At 41.0% G+C, this 13,081-nt stretch overlaps 1 protein-coding gene across 9 annotated transcripts in view, besides 1 other annotated feature; it reads right to left on the bottom strand.

The window, feature by feature from the left end:
* SLC24A4 (solute carrier family 24 member 4) overlaps nt 1–13,081 on the bottom strand; it is a 178,901-nt gene that overhangs the window by 19,703 nt on the left and 146,117 nt on the right. The window lies entirely within an intron of this gene.
* Nucleotides 10,257–11,121: an enhancer, noted in NCBI's record as "H3K27ac-H3K4me1 hESC enhancer chr14:92937002-92937866 (GRCh37/hg19 assembly coordinates)". NCBI's record gives its function as "activates a minimal SCP1, AML or CMV promoter by ChIP-STARR-seq in primed H9 embryonic stem cells {active_cell/tissue: H9 hESC(primed)}" and the evidence as "EXISTENCE:reporter gene assay evidence [ECO:0000049][PMID:30033119]".

Below are 13,081 nucleotides of genomic sequence, written 5' to 3'. Positions count from 1 at the left end.
TGTCAGAATCAACGTTTTCAGAGCTCCAGAATTAACCTAAGGTTTGCAGCAATCCAGGGAATATCTATTTAAAAAAATCAGTTGGACCTTAGTAAGAACAGTGAACTCTGTGGAGTTTTAACTTTCCCTATTTTTATTCCTTCTTGTCAGGTCTGGAGTAGTTTTGAAATCCAGCAGCATGCAACCACATTGAAAAACAGCAGGCTAGCAGCCACAAGAGGGGGCAGAACAAGGTTGGAGGACCTCCCAAGTTCATTCCCACAGAATTGTTATTATTTGACCTGTCTGGTGGTTTCTTAGAAGACTCCACTTTCAAGGCTGTCTTTATTTTACCAGAATCTGAGCTTACCCAGTGTGAATAGCTTTTTACTTGGAGGTGTTTGTCAAAAACAATTAGAGGCAATTATTAAATCATGTTGCTGGAAGTGGCAGATGACAGCTGGGACAAACAATAGGTTAACCAAAAAGCATAAAAGGAAAAGCTGGGGAATGAGACATCCACAGTGGGCTTTGAAAAGCTCCTAGATATCTCTGGGAATCTAACAGACCATGAGCATGCACAGGGCTGTGCCCAGGGTTCTACACATGCTCAGGAAAGACTCGAGACTGCTGTAAGCTTTCATCTCTGCCTAACTTTGAGGCTCTGTGCAAATAAGAAGGAAAGGCTACTATAGAGTTGTGAACTACCCGCCTGAGTGTTGGAGGCATGCCCCAAAACACATACAGAGTCCCTTGGCAAAGACTGGGAGAACGATTGGATCCAGGAACCTAGGGAATTTTCTGTCTAATCATTAGCTGACCTCTAGGCTAACCTAGCAGAGACTTCAGTGGCCACACACAACAAAGAATATGAATTTTACAGAATTAGTTTAGAAAAGTCACTAAACAAGCAACAATAATAAAGAGTAACAACCACAAACCCTAGAACAGGAGATAATCTCCTGTTCTCCAACCACAATGGAACAGAATTAGAAACCAATAACAGAAGGAAAACTGGAAAATTCACGAATACATGGGAAATGAAATAACATACTCCTAAATAAAGGGTCAAAGAAGAAAGCACAAAAAAATTAGAAAATACTTTGAGATGAATCAAAAAAATGTAACACACTAAAGCTTATGGGATATAGTGAAAACAGTACTTAGGAATGCATAGCCGTAAAATACCTATATTAAAAAAGGGAAAGGCCGGGCGTGGTGGCTCACGCCTGTAATCCCAGCACTTTGGGAGGCCGAGGCGGGTGGATCATGAGGTCAGGAGATCGAGACCATCCTGGCTAACAAGGTGAAACCCCGTCTCTACTAAAAATACAAAAAATTAGCCGGGCGTGGTGGCGGGCGCCTGTAGTCCCAGCTACTCGGGAGGCTGAGGCAGGAGAATGGCGTGAACCCGGGAAGTGGAGCTTGCAGTGAGCTGAGATTGTGCCACTGCAGTCCGCAGTTCGGCCTGGGCGACAGAGCAAGACTCCATCTCAAAAAAAAAAAAAAAAAAGGGAAAGATCTCAAATCAATGTCCAAACCTTTCTCCTTAAGAAAAATAAAAGAAGAAAAGAAAATGAAGTCCAAAGAAAGCAGAAGGAAGGAAAAGAATCAAGGTTAGAGTGAAAATAAATGAAATAGAAAATAAAAAAAAATACAAAGAATCAAAGAAATTGAAAGTTGCCTCTTTGAAAAGATCAATAAAATTGACAAACCTTTAGCTAGACTGACCAAGAAAAAAAGAGAGAAGATTCAAATTACTAAAATCAGGAATAAAACAGGGACATCACTATGAACATTACAAAAATAAAACAAACTATTAGGGAATACTACGAAGAATCCTAACAGACAAAATTCTGCAAAGGTACAAACTACCAAAACTGACTCAGAAAGGAACAGAAAATCTGAATAGATTTAAAACAAGATTGAAACAGCAATTTAAAATTTTCCCTTAAAGTAAAGCCAGGACCAGATGGCTTCATGGTGACTTCTACCAAATGTTTAAAGAAGAATTAACATGACTCCTTCTCAAACTCTTTCAAAAAATAGAACAGTAGGGAGCACTTCCCAATTTATTCTATGAAGCCAGTATTACTTCGATACCAAACGCAGACAAAGACATCAAGAGTAAAGAAAATTACAGACCAATATCCCTTCTGAATATTGATGCAAAAATCATTAACAAAATTCTAGCAAACTGGAATCCAGTAACATATAGATAGGATTATACACCACCACCAAGTGGGATTTATCCCAGGAATGAAAGCTTGATTTAACATATACAATTCAATCAATGTAAAACATTACATTAATAGAATAAAGGATAAAACTACACAATCCTCTAAACTGCCACGGAAAAGACATTTGACAAAATTCAACACTCTTTCTTGATGGAAACACTCAACAAACTAGGAACTGAGGGAACCTTCTCAACTGGATAAAGGGCATCTATGGAAAACCCACAGCTAGCACTTATACTTAACGATTAAGATTGAAAGCTATTGCAACCCTCCCCTCCCCACCTCACTGCAAAATCAGAAACAAGATGAAGATGTCTGCTCTTACTCCTTCAACACTGAACTAGAGATTATAGCCAAGAAAATTAGGCAAGAAAAATAAATAAAAGTGATTCAGATTGGAAAGGAAGAAGTAAAACTATCCCTATTTGTAGATGACATGATCTTGTATATAGAAAACTCTAAGGAACCCATAAAAACCTATTAGAACTAATAAACAAGTTCAGCCAATTTGTAAGATATGTAATAAATTTACAAAATTCAGTTGTGTTTTTCTACATTAACAATTCAAAAATAAAATTAAGAAAACAATTCCATGTACAATGCCATCAAAAAATTTAAAAACCTAACATTTATGCAACAAAAGTAGTAGAGAATTTGTATGCTGAAAACTACCAAACATCATTGGAAGAAATTAAAGAAGACCTAAATAAATGAGAAGAAATCCTGTTTATGAATCGGAAGGCTTAAAATGGTTAAGACGGTAATATTCCCCAAACTTACGTATACATTCAATGCAATCCCTATCAAAATCCCAGGTAGCTGAGCAGAAACTGACAAGCTGAGCCTAAAATTCATATGAAAATATAAGGAACCCCCAAATAGCCAAAACAGTCTTGGAAAAAAAAACAAAACAAAGCTGGGAAATTTACACACTGTGATTTTAAAACTTAGGACAAAGCTACAGTAATCAGGAGAGACTGCTACTGGAAGAATGGAATAAAATTATGAGTCCAGAAATAAACCCAGATATTTAAGGGTTTATTTATGGACTCGACATTTACTGGCATAAGAATGGAATAAAATTTTGAGTCCAGAAATAAACCCAGGCATTTAATATCTTGATATTTGACAAGAGTATCAAGACAATTCAATAGGAAAACAATAATCTTTTCAACAAATGGTGCAGAGACAGCTGGATACCCATAGGCAAAAGAATGAAACTGGTGCTCTGTCTTATACCATACACAAAAATTGAATTAAAAAATGATTAAGACCTAAATATAAGAGCTACAACTATAAAATAACATGAGCACAACTCTTTATGACCTTGGATTGGGCAATGATTTCTTAAATGACACCAAAATCACAAGCAACAAAAGAATAAGTAAATTATGTTTTATCACAATTAAAAACTTTTGTGATTCATAGAATACTATTAAGAAAGTGAGGCTGGGGCTGGGCACAGCAGCTCATGCCTGTAATCTCAGCACTTTGGAAGGCCAAGATGGGCAGATCACCTGAGGTTGGGAGTTCAAGACCAGCCTGGCCAACGTGGTGAAACCCTGTCTCTACTAAAAATACAAAAATTAGCCGGGTGTGGTGGTGCATGCCTGTAATCCCAGCTACTTGGGAGGCTGAGGCTGGGATGGAATGGAATGGAATGGAATGAGGATCACTTGAACCCAGAAGGCAGAGGTTGCAGTGAGCTAAGATCACACCACTGCACTCCAGCCTGGGAGACAAAGCAAGGCTCTGTCTCAAAAAAAAAAAAAAAAGAGAAAAGAAAAAAGAAAAAAAGGAAAGAAAGGCTGGGCACAGTGTCTCATGCCTACGATCCTGCACTTTGGGAGGCCAAGGTGGGAGGACTGGTTGAGGCCAGGAGTTCAAGACCAGCCTGGGCAACATAGTGAGACCTCATCTCTACAAAAAATACAAAAACTAGCTGGGCATGGTGGCCTTTTAGTCTCAACTACTTGGGAGGTTGAGGTGGGAGGATTGCTCTAGCCTAGGAGTTAGAGGCTGCAGTGAGCTATGATTGCCATTGCACTGGGCAACAGAGTGAGGTCTTGTCTGGAAAAACAAAACAACAACAACAAAAACAACAACAAAAAAAGGAAAAGATAGACCATGAAAATACTACCTATTGAATGGAAAAAAATCATTTTGCAAATAATATATCTGATAAGGGTCTATTGTCCAAAATATGTAAAGAACTCTTACTACTCAACAATTTTAAAAACCCAATTTTCTTAAAAAAGGCAAAGTGTTTGAATAGACAGTTCTCCAAAGAAAATGGTCATTAGGAAAATGTAATTCAAGGCGATTTCACAGCCACAAGTATTACTAGAATAAAAAAGATAAATAACAAGTATTGGTGAGGGTGTGGGAAAATAGGAACCGTCATACATTGCTGATAGGAATGTAAAGTGGTACACCTGCTTTGGAAAACAGTCTGACAGTTTCTCAAAGAGTTTGACCCAGAAATTCTACACCTAGTTTTACCCAAAAAGAATAAAAATATATGTCCATACCAAAACTTTTACTCAAATGTTCACAGCAGCATTATTTATAATAGCAAAAAATGAAAACAACCCAAATATTAACCAAGTGATGAATGGATAAACAAAATGTGGCATATAAATACAAAGGAATATTATTCAGCCATAAAAAGGAATGAAGTACTGATACATGGTACCACATGGACAAATCTTGTAAACATTACACAAAGTGAAAGAAGTCAGACACAAAAGGCCATATATTGATAGATTCTATTTATATAAATGTCAAGAATAGGAAATTCATAGAGACGGAAAGTAGATTAGTGGTTGCCAGGGGATGGAAGAGAAGAGGAATGGGCAGTCATGCTCATGGGACTATGAAAAGTGGGATAATAAAAATATTCTAGAATTATATATTGGTGATGGCTGCGCAGCTCTGTGAATATAGCAAAAACCACGAATTAGTTTATGAGGGCGAATTTTATGGCATATAAATTACATCTCAATTTTAAAAATTGCAAAGTAGACTGGCACTAGCTGTGTTTGCTCTGTAATATTTGTGCTAGAATCTTCCTAAATCATTAAAAGTATTTTTACTAAAAAAAAAAAATCAGCTGCTTATAATAATTAGCCAAGAGAATATGGTTAGCTTGAAATAAGCAAATCCATCCATCTCTTTCTAGATCTTTCTCTATATACACCTTTCTGTAGCTTGTAGTCCCTGTACAAATGGCCAAAAGTTTTCCTGCCTTGATTGGTTTGTCCAAAATTCCACGTTCTTCTCTGGTGAGTCCACATCCCAACTCATCTAGGTTGCTGAGGAAGGCCTAGTGTATTTCTAGAATTGACAGAAAACTCCGTATGTAGAGGAAGAATTCGCTTTAGGGAATTGTAACCCTGGATGCTTAAATGCCCAGGAACGTCTTTGCGGGTATATACAAACGCCACAGTAGAAGGATAATTTTCATATGTTCCCAGACACCAAACTGCATGAGGTGTTTGCCTTTTTCTTGCCTGCTATGGGTTTTGCATCCGGTTTCAACATCCACCCCCATCTGGCCCCACCCACGTGGCCAGTGTCACGGCCCACCATTGTTTCCTAAGAAACAGTGCTTCAACCGACCCGTTCCATTGCTATGTTTTTCAACTGTTGGATGAGATCCAGGAGAGGATGGTGAAATCAATTTAGTGAAGGGCAACCAGCATTTTCTTTTTTAAAAAAGTAGAAAATAGAGTTCCTGTACATAGTGAGAGTTCAGTATTACTCCAGGAAACTGGTTTCCTTTTTATATTTCCAGGTATGTGTATAAAATATTCCTGTAGGTCATGGTCACGGTGTGGAAACCTTCCATGGTGCTCGTGCTGGTCTCTGTTCGATTAGGCAATGACTTCTTAAATGACACCATTGCTAGTGCTGTGCAACCCTCTCAACTCCCAGCCTTCCATCTATCTGGCCTCTCTTCAGCCTCCCCAGTGTTCTGACTCTTCTGAAAAGCCGTTAACCCCGCCAGCCCATGGTGATCTCTCCCTTCTGTAACTGCTTTGGTTTTGAAGAATTTATGAATTATTGAAACTCTACCCAAGTTGACCCATAGCCTTACTACTTGAATCCACCATCTCTACCTCTCCTGACTGGGTTGCAAACACAGCTGGTAACAGCTCCTGGTGCCTTCTGCACCAGTGTGGACCATACAATTAGCAGGTGGTGGTACATAGTCTTATTCTAACAGCCTGCTCTGCATAATTGGGCATTTTGTTTACTGCCTTGTTACCTAATTGCTCTGCATTTTGAAGCGCAGTGCCCAAAGGTCAAAGACAAGGTAAGCAACATTAAAGGTCTGGCATCTGACCTGGTTCAAATCCAGTTTACTAGCTCATCAGCTGTGGGTCACTGGGGGAGCAGTCCTCATGAGCCTTATTTCCTTACTGTAAAATGGGGGTGACAACAGTACACTGGGGACTTGGGAACATGATACTATTTGTCAATAGAAGAGTCTCAGTAAATGGCACATCTCACCATTACTACCAGGACCGTATATCAATAAAGACACAGGTTCAAATATAGGCCGGGCACGGTGGCTCACGCCTGTAATCCCAGTGCTTTGGGAGGCCAAGGTGGGTGGATCACTTGAGGTCAGGAGTTCGAGACCAGCCTGGCCAACATGGTGAAACCCTGTGTCTACTAAAAAAAAAAAAAATATATATATATATATATATACACACACACACACATATATATGTATATATATGTATATATGTATATATATACACACACACATATATATACACACATATATACGTATATACACACACGTATATATACGTATATATACGTGTGTGTATATATATATACACACACGTATATATACATATATATGTGTATATATATATATACACACACACACAAAAATTAGCTGGGCGTTGTGGTGGGTGCCTATAAACCCAGCTACTTGGGAGGCTGAGGCAGGAGAATCGCTTGAATCCGGGATGTGGAGGTTGCAGTGAGCAGAGATCACACCATTGCACTCCAGCCTGGGCAATAAAGCAAGACTCCATCTCAAAAGAAAACAACAACAACAACAAAACAAATGTGGCATGGAGCTGTCAGCCCAAAGCTCTCAATGTCTGGCTTGGAAGAAAGTCACTTGTATGAGTTCTGAAGCTAGACTGGAAGCCCCTCGCAGGCAGGGGCCTGCTGGATTCTTGCATGGCTCTGGAAGAGAGCAGAGCTCCCAGCCCCGCCCCTGACTCATGGCAGAACTCAACACATATTAAATGTATGGGAGGCTACAAGTGCCCGCTCAGAATCAGGAAAAGATAATCTGAACATAACATGTTTTTAAAATCCCACATAATGAATGTGATCATCACCATCTAAAAGCTCATTAGCAGCAAAGAAGCCCCACATATTATGCTGATGAAGTTAGATATTTCCTGAACTTATGCCAAGAGACCAGATCACCAGGAAACATTACTGGAATGGAAAAGTTAGAGAACCCAGTTGCACTTGATCAAGCTAAAGAGGCTTGGGCAGCCTTGAAAAGTGTCCCAGGTTTTGATGCTGCCTACAGAGGTGCCTGGGTACAGGAGTTCTGATTCAGTAAGAATCCCGGGACACCTCTGGCAGAACCAGCCCAGCTCCCCTGATGAGATGGGATCATTTCTCCCAGGCACATTTGTGCTCCTGCCTGTGACTAGCCCAAGGATAGTTCTAATCAGACTGAGTCAATCAGAGCCTGTCCCTGAGGATGCTGAAATTGGAACCGATTTCGGCGTGCATGTGGCTAAAATTGTGAAATCAGGAGAGGAGAGGCAGAAGCAGCAGGTCTGAAGGTCAGGAGATGAATCAGGGACAGAGACGAGCATGGGGAGATAGGGGCTGCCCGATCATGTTTCCTGGTTCCAGCTGTCCTGAGACTCATCCGCACCTCTGCCCTGGCTCCAGGAAACACCTCTGTATCTTTCTCATAAAGTCCCCTTTCCTGCTGAAACCAAGATCTAGCTAGTTTTGATACTTGTAACCACAGAATCCTAAGCAATAGAGTTACGAAGACAGAAACAGCAGGGAGGAGCTTTTCAATCCATGCTAGCCAAGAGTATCTCGCTCCTTGGTTTAATTCTGAGCTCATCATGCAATCTCCTGCCCCAGGATTTGGTCTCCCAAGCAGACTTGCCCACCAGGCTGGGCCTTGGCCTCCTCATCCTCCAAATGAGAGACTGAGACTAAACCAGTTGTTCTCAAAACCAACTGAACAGCCACATTACCTGGGGGGCTTGTTCACACACAGATTTCTGAGTCCTAGCAATATCCTGAAGGTTCTGCTTTCAAGTCCTTGAGTCCTAAGTTCATGCTCAAATGCATACTGTTTGCCAAACCCACATCAAATGTGTTTTTAAATGTAGCCAGAATTTGTTTTAATCAGGTGTGGTAAGACACAGAGGTATAGAAATGATGGTCATGAAAAAAAGGTTTTTTGTACTCACAAAAACTAGAAACAGGAGGCAGGGTGTGCCGCATGGGGCCACATGAGGAAGCACCAGTGCTGGTGAGGAGGAACAAGGAGTGAGAGGCAAGTGTGGGCAAAAGCCTTTATTGTGGCTTTCATGGGGCAAGGGAGGGTGAGTATGCAGCCTTAGAACTGAGTAACTTCTACAGGCTGGTGGGAATGTCAACTAGGACAACCACTATGGAAAACAGTGTGGAGATTCCTTAAAGAACTAAAGGTAGATCTACCATTTAATCCAGCAATCCCACTCCTGGGTATCTACCCAGAGGAAAAGAACTCATTATGTGAAAAAGTTACTTGCATACACATGTTTATGGCAGTACAATTCGCAATTGCAAAAATGTGGAACCAGCCCAAATGCTCATCAATCAATGAGTGGATAAAGAAACTGTGGTGTGTACATATATGCACATATATGTTCACAGATATGTGCACATATATATGATGGAATACTACTCAGCTATAAAAAGGAATGAATTAATGGCATTTGCAGCAACCTGGATGGGATTGGGGACTATTATTCTATGTGAAGTAACTCAGGAACGGAAAACCAAACATCGTATGTTCTCACTCATAAGTGGGAGCTAAGCTATGAGGATCCAAAGGCATAAGAATGATACAGTGGACTTTGGGGACTCGGGGGAAAGGGTGGGAAGGGGTGAGGGATAAAAGATGACAAATTGGGTTCAGTATGTACTGCTTGGGTGATGCGTGCACGAAAATCTCACAAATCACCACTAAAGAACTTTCTCATGTAACCAAATACCACCTGTTCCCCCAAAACTTATGGAAATGAAAAATTTAAAAAAAGAGAACTGAATAACTTCAGGGAGCTCTGGGGCTGAATCTGGTTGTCTGTACCTTGCCCTGGGATGACTAAGGCAGAGAGGAATGTTGCCTCCTGGAGTATAAGAGCCAGATGGAGGAAGCAGTTCAGAGTAGGGCTTTGGATTGATTGCTTTGCACATGAAAGTCATGCTCCCAGCAGGCAGCTGTTTGCTATCTATGAGAACTGAAGGGCCCTGGGAAGGGCAGTTTCTCCCCAGGCAGGGAGGCCTCAGATGCCAGAGCATCAAGAATACAGAAAATAAGAACATAGACCTAATACACACTGTTAACTTCAGAAAGTGACTTTCACTTTTTGCTAATGTGAATTGGTCTCTCCAGATTTTGGGCAATTCTAGGTTGTAGAGGGCATTCATTGTTCTCATCTGGCTAGCATCTACTCCCCTTTAATGGTAACAGCATGCCAATTTTCCTTTAGGGAACCAACCCTCTATTCCACATTAAATTCATGTAGTTTAGACAGGGGCTGACTCCTTTCCTTGACGTCTGGGTGGGTATGAGAGTCAAGCTTGGCTAATCATGTATTCCATAATATTTAGTGTGTTCATTCCCCATGCTAGGAACTATTCTAGGTACTGGGAATCCAACACAGGACTCCTAGACCTCCTGGTATTATGGGGTTACATAGGCCCTGGGTTGGGTGTATAATATAACAAGGGTCAACCTTGGGAATTCTGCCAAGAATCACTGCCTCTAATACCCATTGCCCTTTCCTCCTTACTAACAGAACTCTCTTTTCCTTGAGACAGTAGGTTCCCAGCTAAAAATCTTAATTTCCTAGGCTTCCTTGCAGGTAGGGGTGGCTATGGACAGGTCTGGACCACAACATGCAAATTAAAGTCTATTTGGTGGAGCTTCCAGGAAAGTCATTCTCTTCTGGATAAGGAGAAGGAGACTCCGTAGTATGAGCCTTCTGCCCTTTGTCCTCCTTGTCCCTGCTAGGAGTAGGGAGTCACTGGAGTTGCAGAGGCCAGTGGGCAACCTTGAGGACAAAAGCCACCAGCTGAGTATGGACAACAGTAATGGGATACTGATGCTAGAGCTTCAGGATTCCCTACTTTCAGGACTTCTTGTTACATGAGAAAAATAAAATCCTTGACTTTAAGGCTCTGTCACTTGAGTTTTCTGTTACATGCAGCTGAATGCAATCCTTAAGAGACAGAGGCACCATCTGTGCATGGGGCTAACCCAAAGGGATGTAAGCTTAGGTGGAGGAAAGCCAACACAGGGATAAAACCAACCCAGGGGAAAGCAATGCTGAGAGATGGATGGTGTCTTGTTGTTTCCTCTGAACCCTGGGTCTAGCCTTGTCAGAAGGCAGCCTTTCTCAGGGAACCTGCCACCATGTGAACTTTTTGGCTTAAACCGGCCTGAATAGGGGTTCTTTAACATTAGGAGTCTGGACTAATTCATGTGTGAAATAATAGAGTTTTGGGGGCTGCAGAGGTGATGGGACAATGCCTATACTGATGGACATTCTCCCCTACACTATTGGGAACCCCTCCTGGCCCCCCACTTCCATCTCGTTGGGTGCAATATTGGAGTGGAATGTTCATCACGGACTCCGATTGACACGCAAACATCAACAAGAGAACGGAGGGCTGCCGTCATTCCTTTCACTAAGCTCTCAGATTTCTCTTTTGAAGTAGAAAATTACAATTTAATTATGTGAAAAAAAAGTCTTGAAAATGAACTGTAACAAAACAGATGGCTAATCAGACTGGAGAAAAAAATTAAGAACAGATGCAGTTGCTGATGAAAAACCTCAAGCAAATTAATGTGGACAGTGAATGAATTCCACATTCCAATTAAGGGAGTGGTTAACCTGTGGTTTGCAGGGATGCATGCATCACTGGATGATGCAGAGTAGATTTGCATGGACCTGGGAGCTCAGAGCACTTATATGACCTGGAGAGCACAGATTCTGAAGCAGTGGTTCTCAAATTTGAGTGTAAGTCGGAATCCCTGGAAAGCCTGTTAGATCACCACACTCACAATGATTTGGCAGGACTAGAGGAGAAGGGAGTTGCAAGAATTTGTGTTTCTAACAAGTTCCCAGGTGCTGCTGATGCTGACAGTCCTAGGACCACACTTTGAGGACCACCACTCTAGAATAACTCCAGTTAAAAGCAATTGAGATATAATTAACGTATCATAAAATTCACCCATTTAGAATGTGCAAGCAGGCAGGTTTTACCATATTTGAAAGTTGTGTAACTATGACCACTATATAATTCCAGAAGATTTTCATCGCCCCAGTGGAAACCCCTAGCCATTAGCGGTCATTCCCATTCCTCATTTCCTCCAGCCTCTGGTAACCACTAATTAATTTTCTGTCTCTATAGATTTGACTATTCTGGGCGTTCCATATAAATGGAATTGTAACATGGGGGCTTTTGTGTCTGGCTTTCACTGAGCATATATTTCCTAGGCTCATCCATATTGTAGCATCTATCAGTAAGCCATTCCTTTTTAGGGCTGACTAATATTCTATTATATGGATATACCACATTTCGTTTATCCATTCTTCACTTTATGGATATTTGAATTGTTCTACTTTTTGGCAATTATGAATAATGCTGCTATGAACTCTTGTGTATAAGTTTGCATGTGGACATATATTTTCATCCCTCTTAAATACAGAACTAAGAGGGGAATTGTTGGGTCATATGGTGACTCTATGTTTAACCTTTTTTTTTTTGAGATGGAGTCTCACTCCGTGCCCAGGCTGGAGTGCAGTGGCGCGATCTCGGCTCACTGCGAGCTCTGCCTCCCGGGTTCATGCCATTCTCCTGCCTCAGCCTCCTGAGTAGCTGGGACTACAGGTGCCCACCACCACACCTGGCTAATTTTTTCATATTTTTAGTTGAGACAGGGTTTCACCATGTTAGCCAGGATAGTCTCGATCTCCTGACCTCGTGATCTGCCCACCTCGGTCTCCCAAAGTGCTGGGATTACAGGTGTGAGCCACCGCGCCTGGCCTATGTTTACTATTTACATTTCCACCAGCAATGTATGAGGGCTCCAATTTTCCCATCCCCTCACCAGTACTTGTTATTGTCTACCTTTTCTGGATTATACCCATTCTAGTGGGTGTGAAATGGCATCTCATCATGATATCTCATTTAGATTTGCATTTCTCTAATGACTAATGATGTGAGCATCTTTGCATACCCTTATTAGCCATTTGTATAATCTGCTTTGGAGAAATGTCTGTTCAAATCTTTTGTCCATTTTCAAATTGGATTGTCTTTTATTGTTGAGTTTTAAGTGACACACACACACACACACACACACACACACACACACACACACAGATACATGATTTGCAAATGTTTTCTCCCATTCTGTGGTTAGAAACTGTTGGCTAACACAAGGTCACAAATATGTATACCTATGTTTTCCTCTAAGAGTTTTATATTTTTAGCTATTATATTTAGGTTTTTGTTTCATATTGAGTTAACTTTTGTATATGGTGAGCAGTAGGGATCAGACTTCTTTTCAATGTGGT

The sequence above is a fragment of the Homo sapiens genome, chromosome 14 (genome assembly GCF_000001405.40).
Source record: "Homo sapiens chromosome 14, GRCh38.p14 Primary Assembly".
Taxonomy (NCBI): domain Eukaryota; kingdom Metazoa; phylum Chordata; class Mammalia; order Primates; family Hominidae; genus Homo; species Homo sapiens.
Note: the sequence above shows the minus strand (reverse complement) of the source record. Positions and strands in the feature narration are given on the sequence as shown.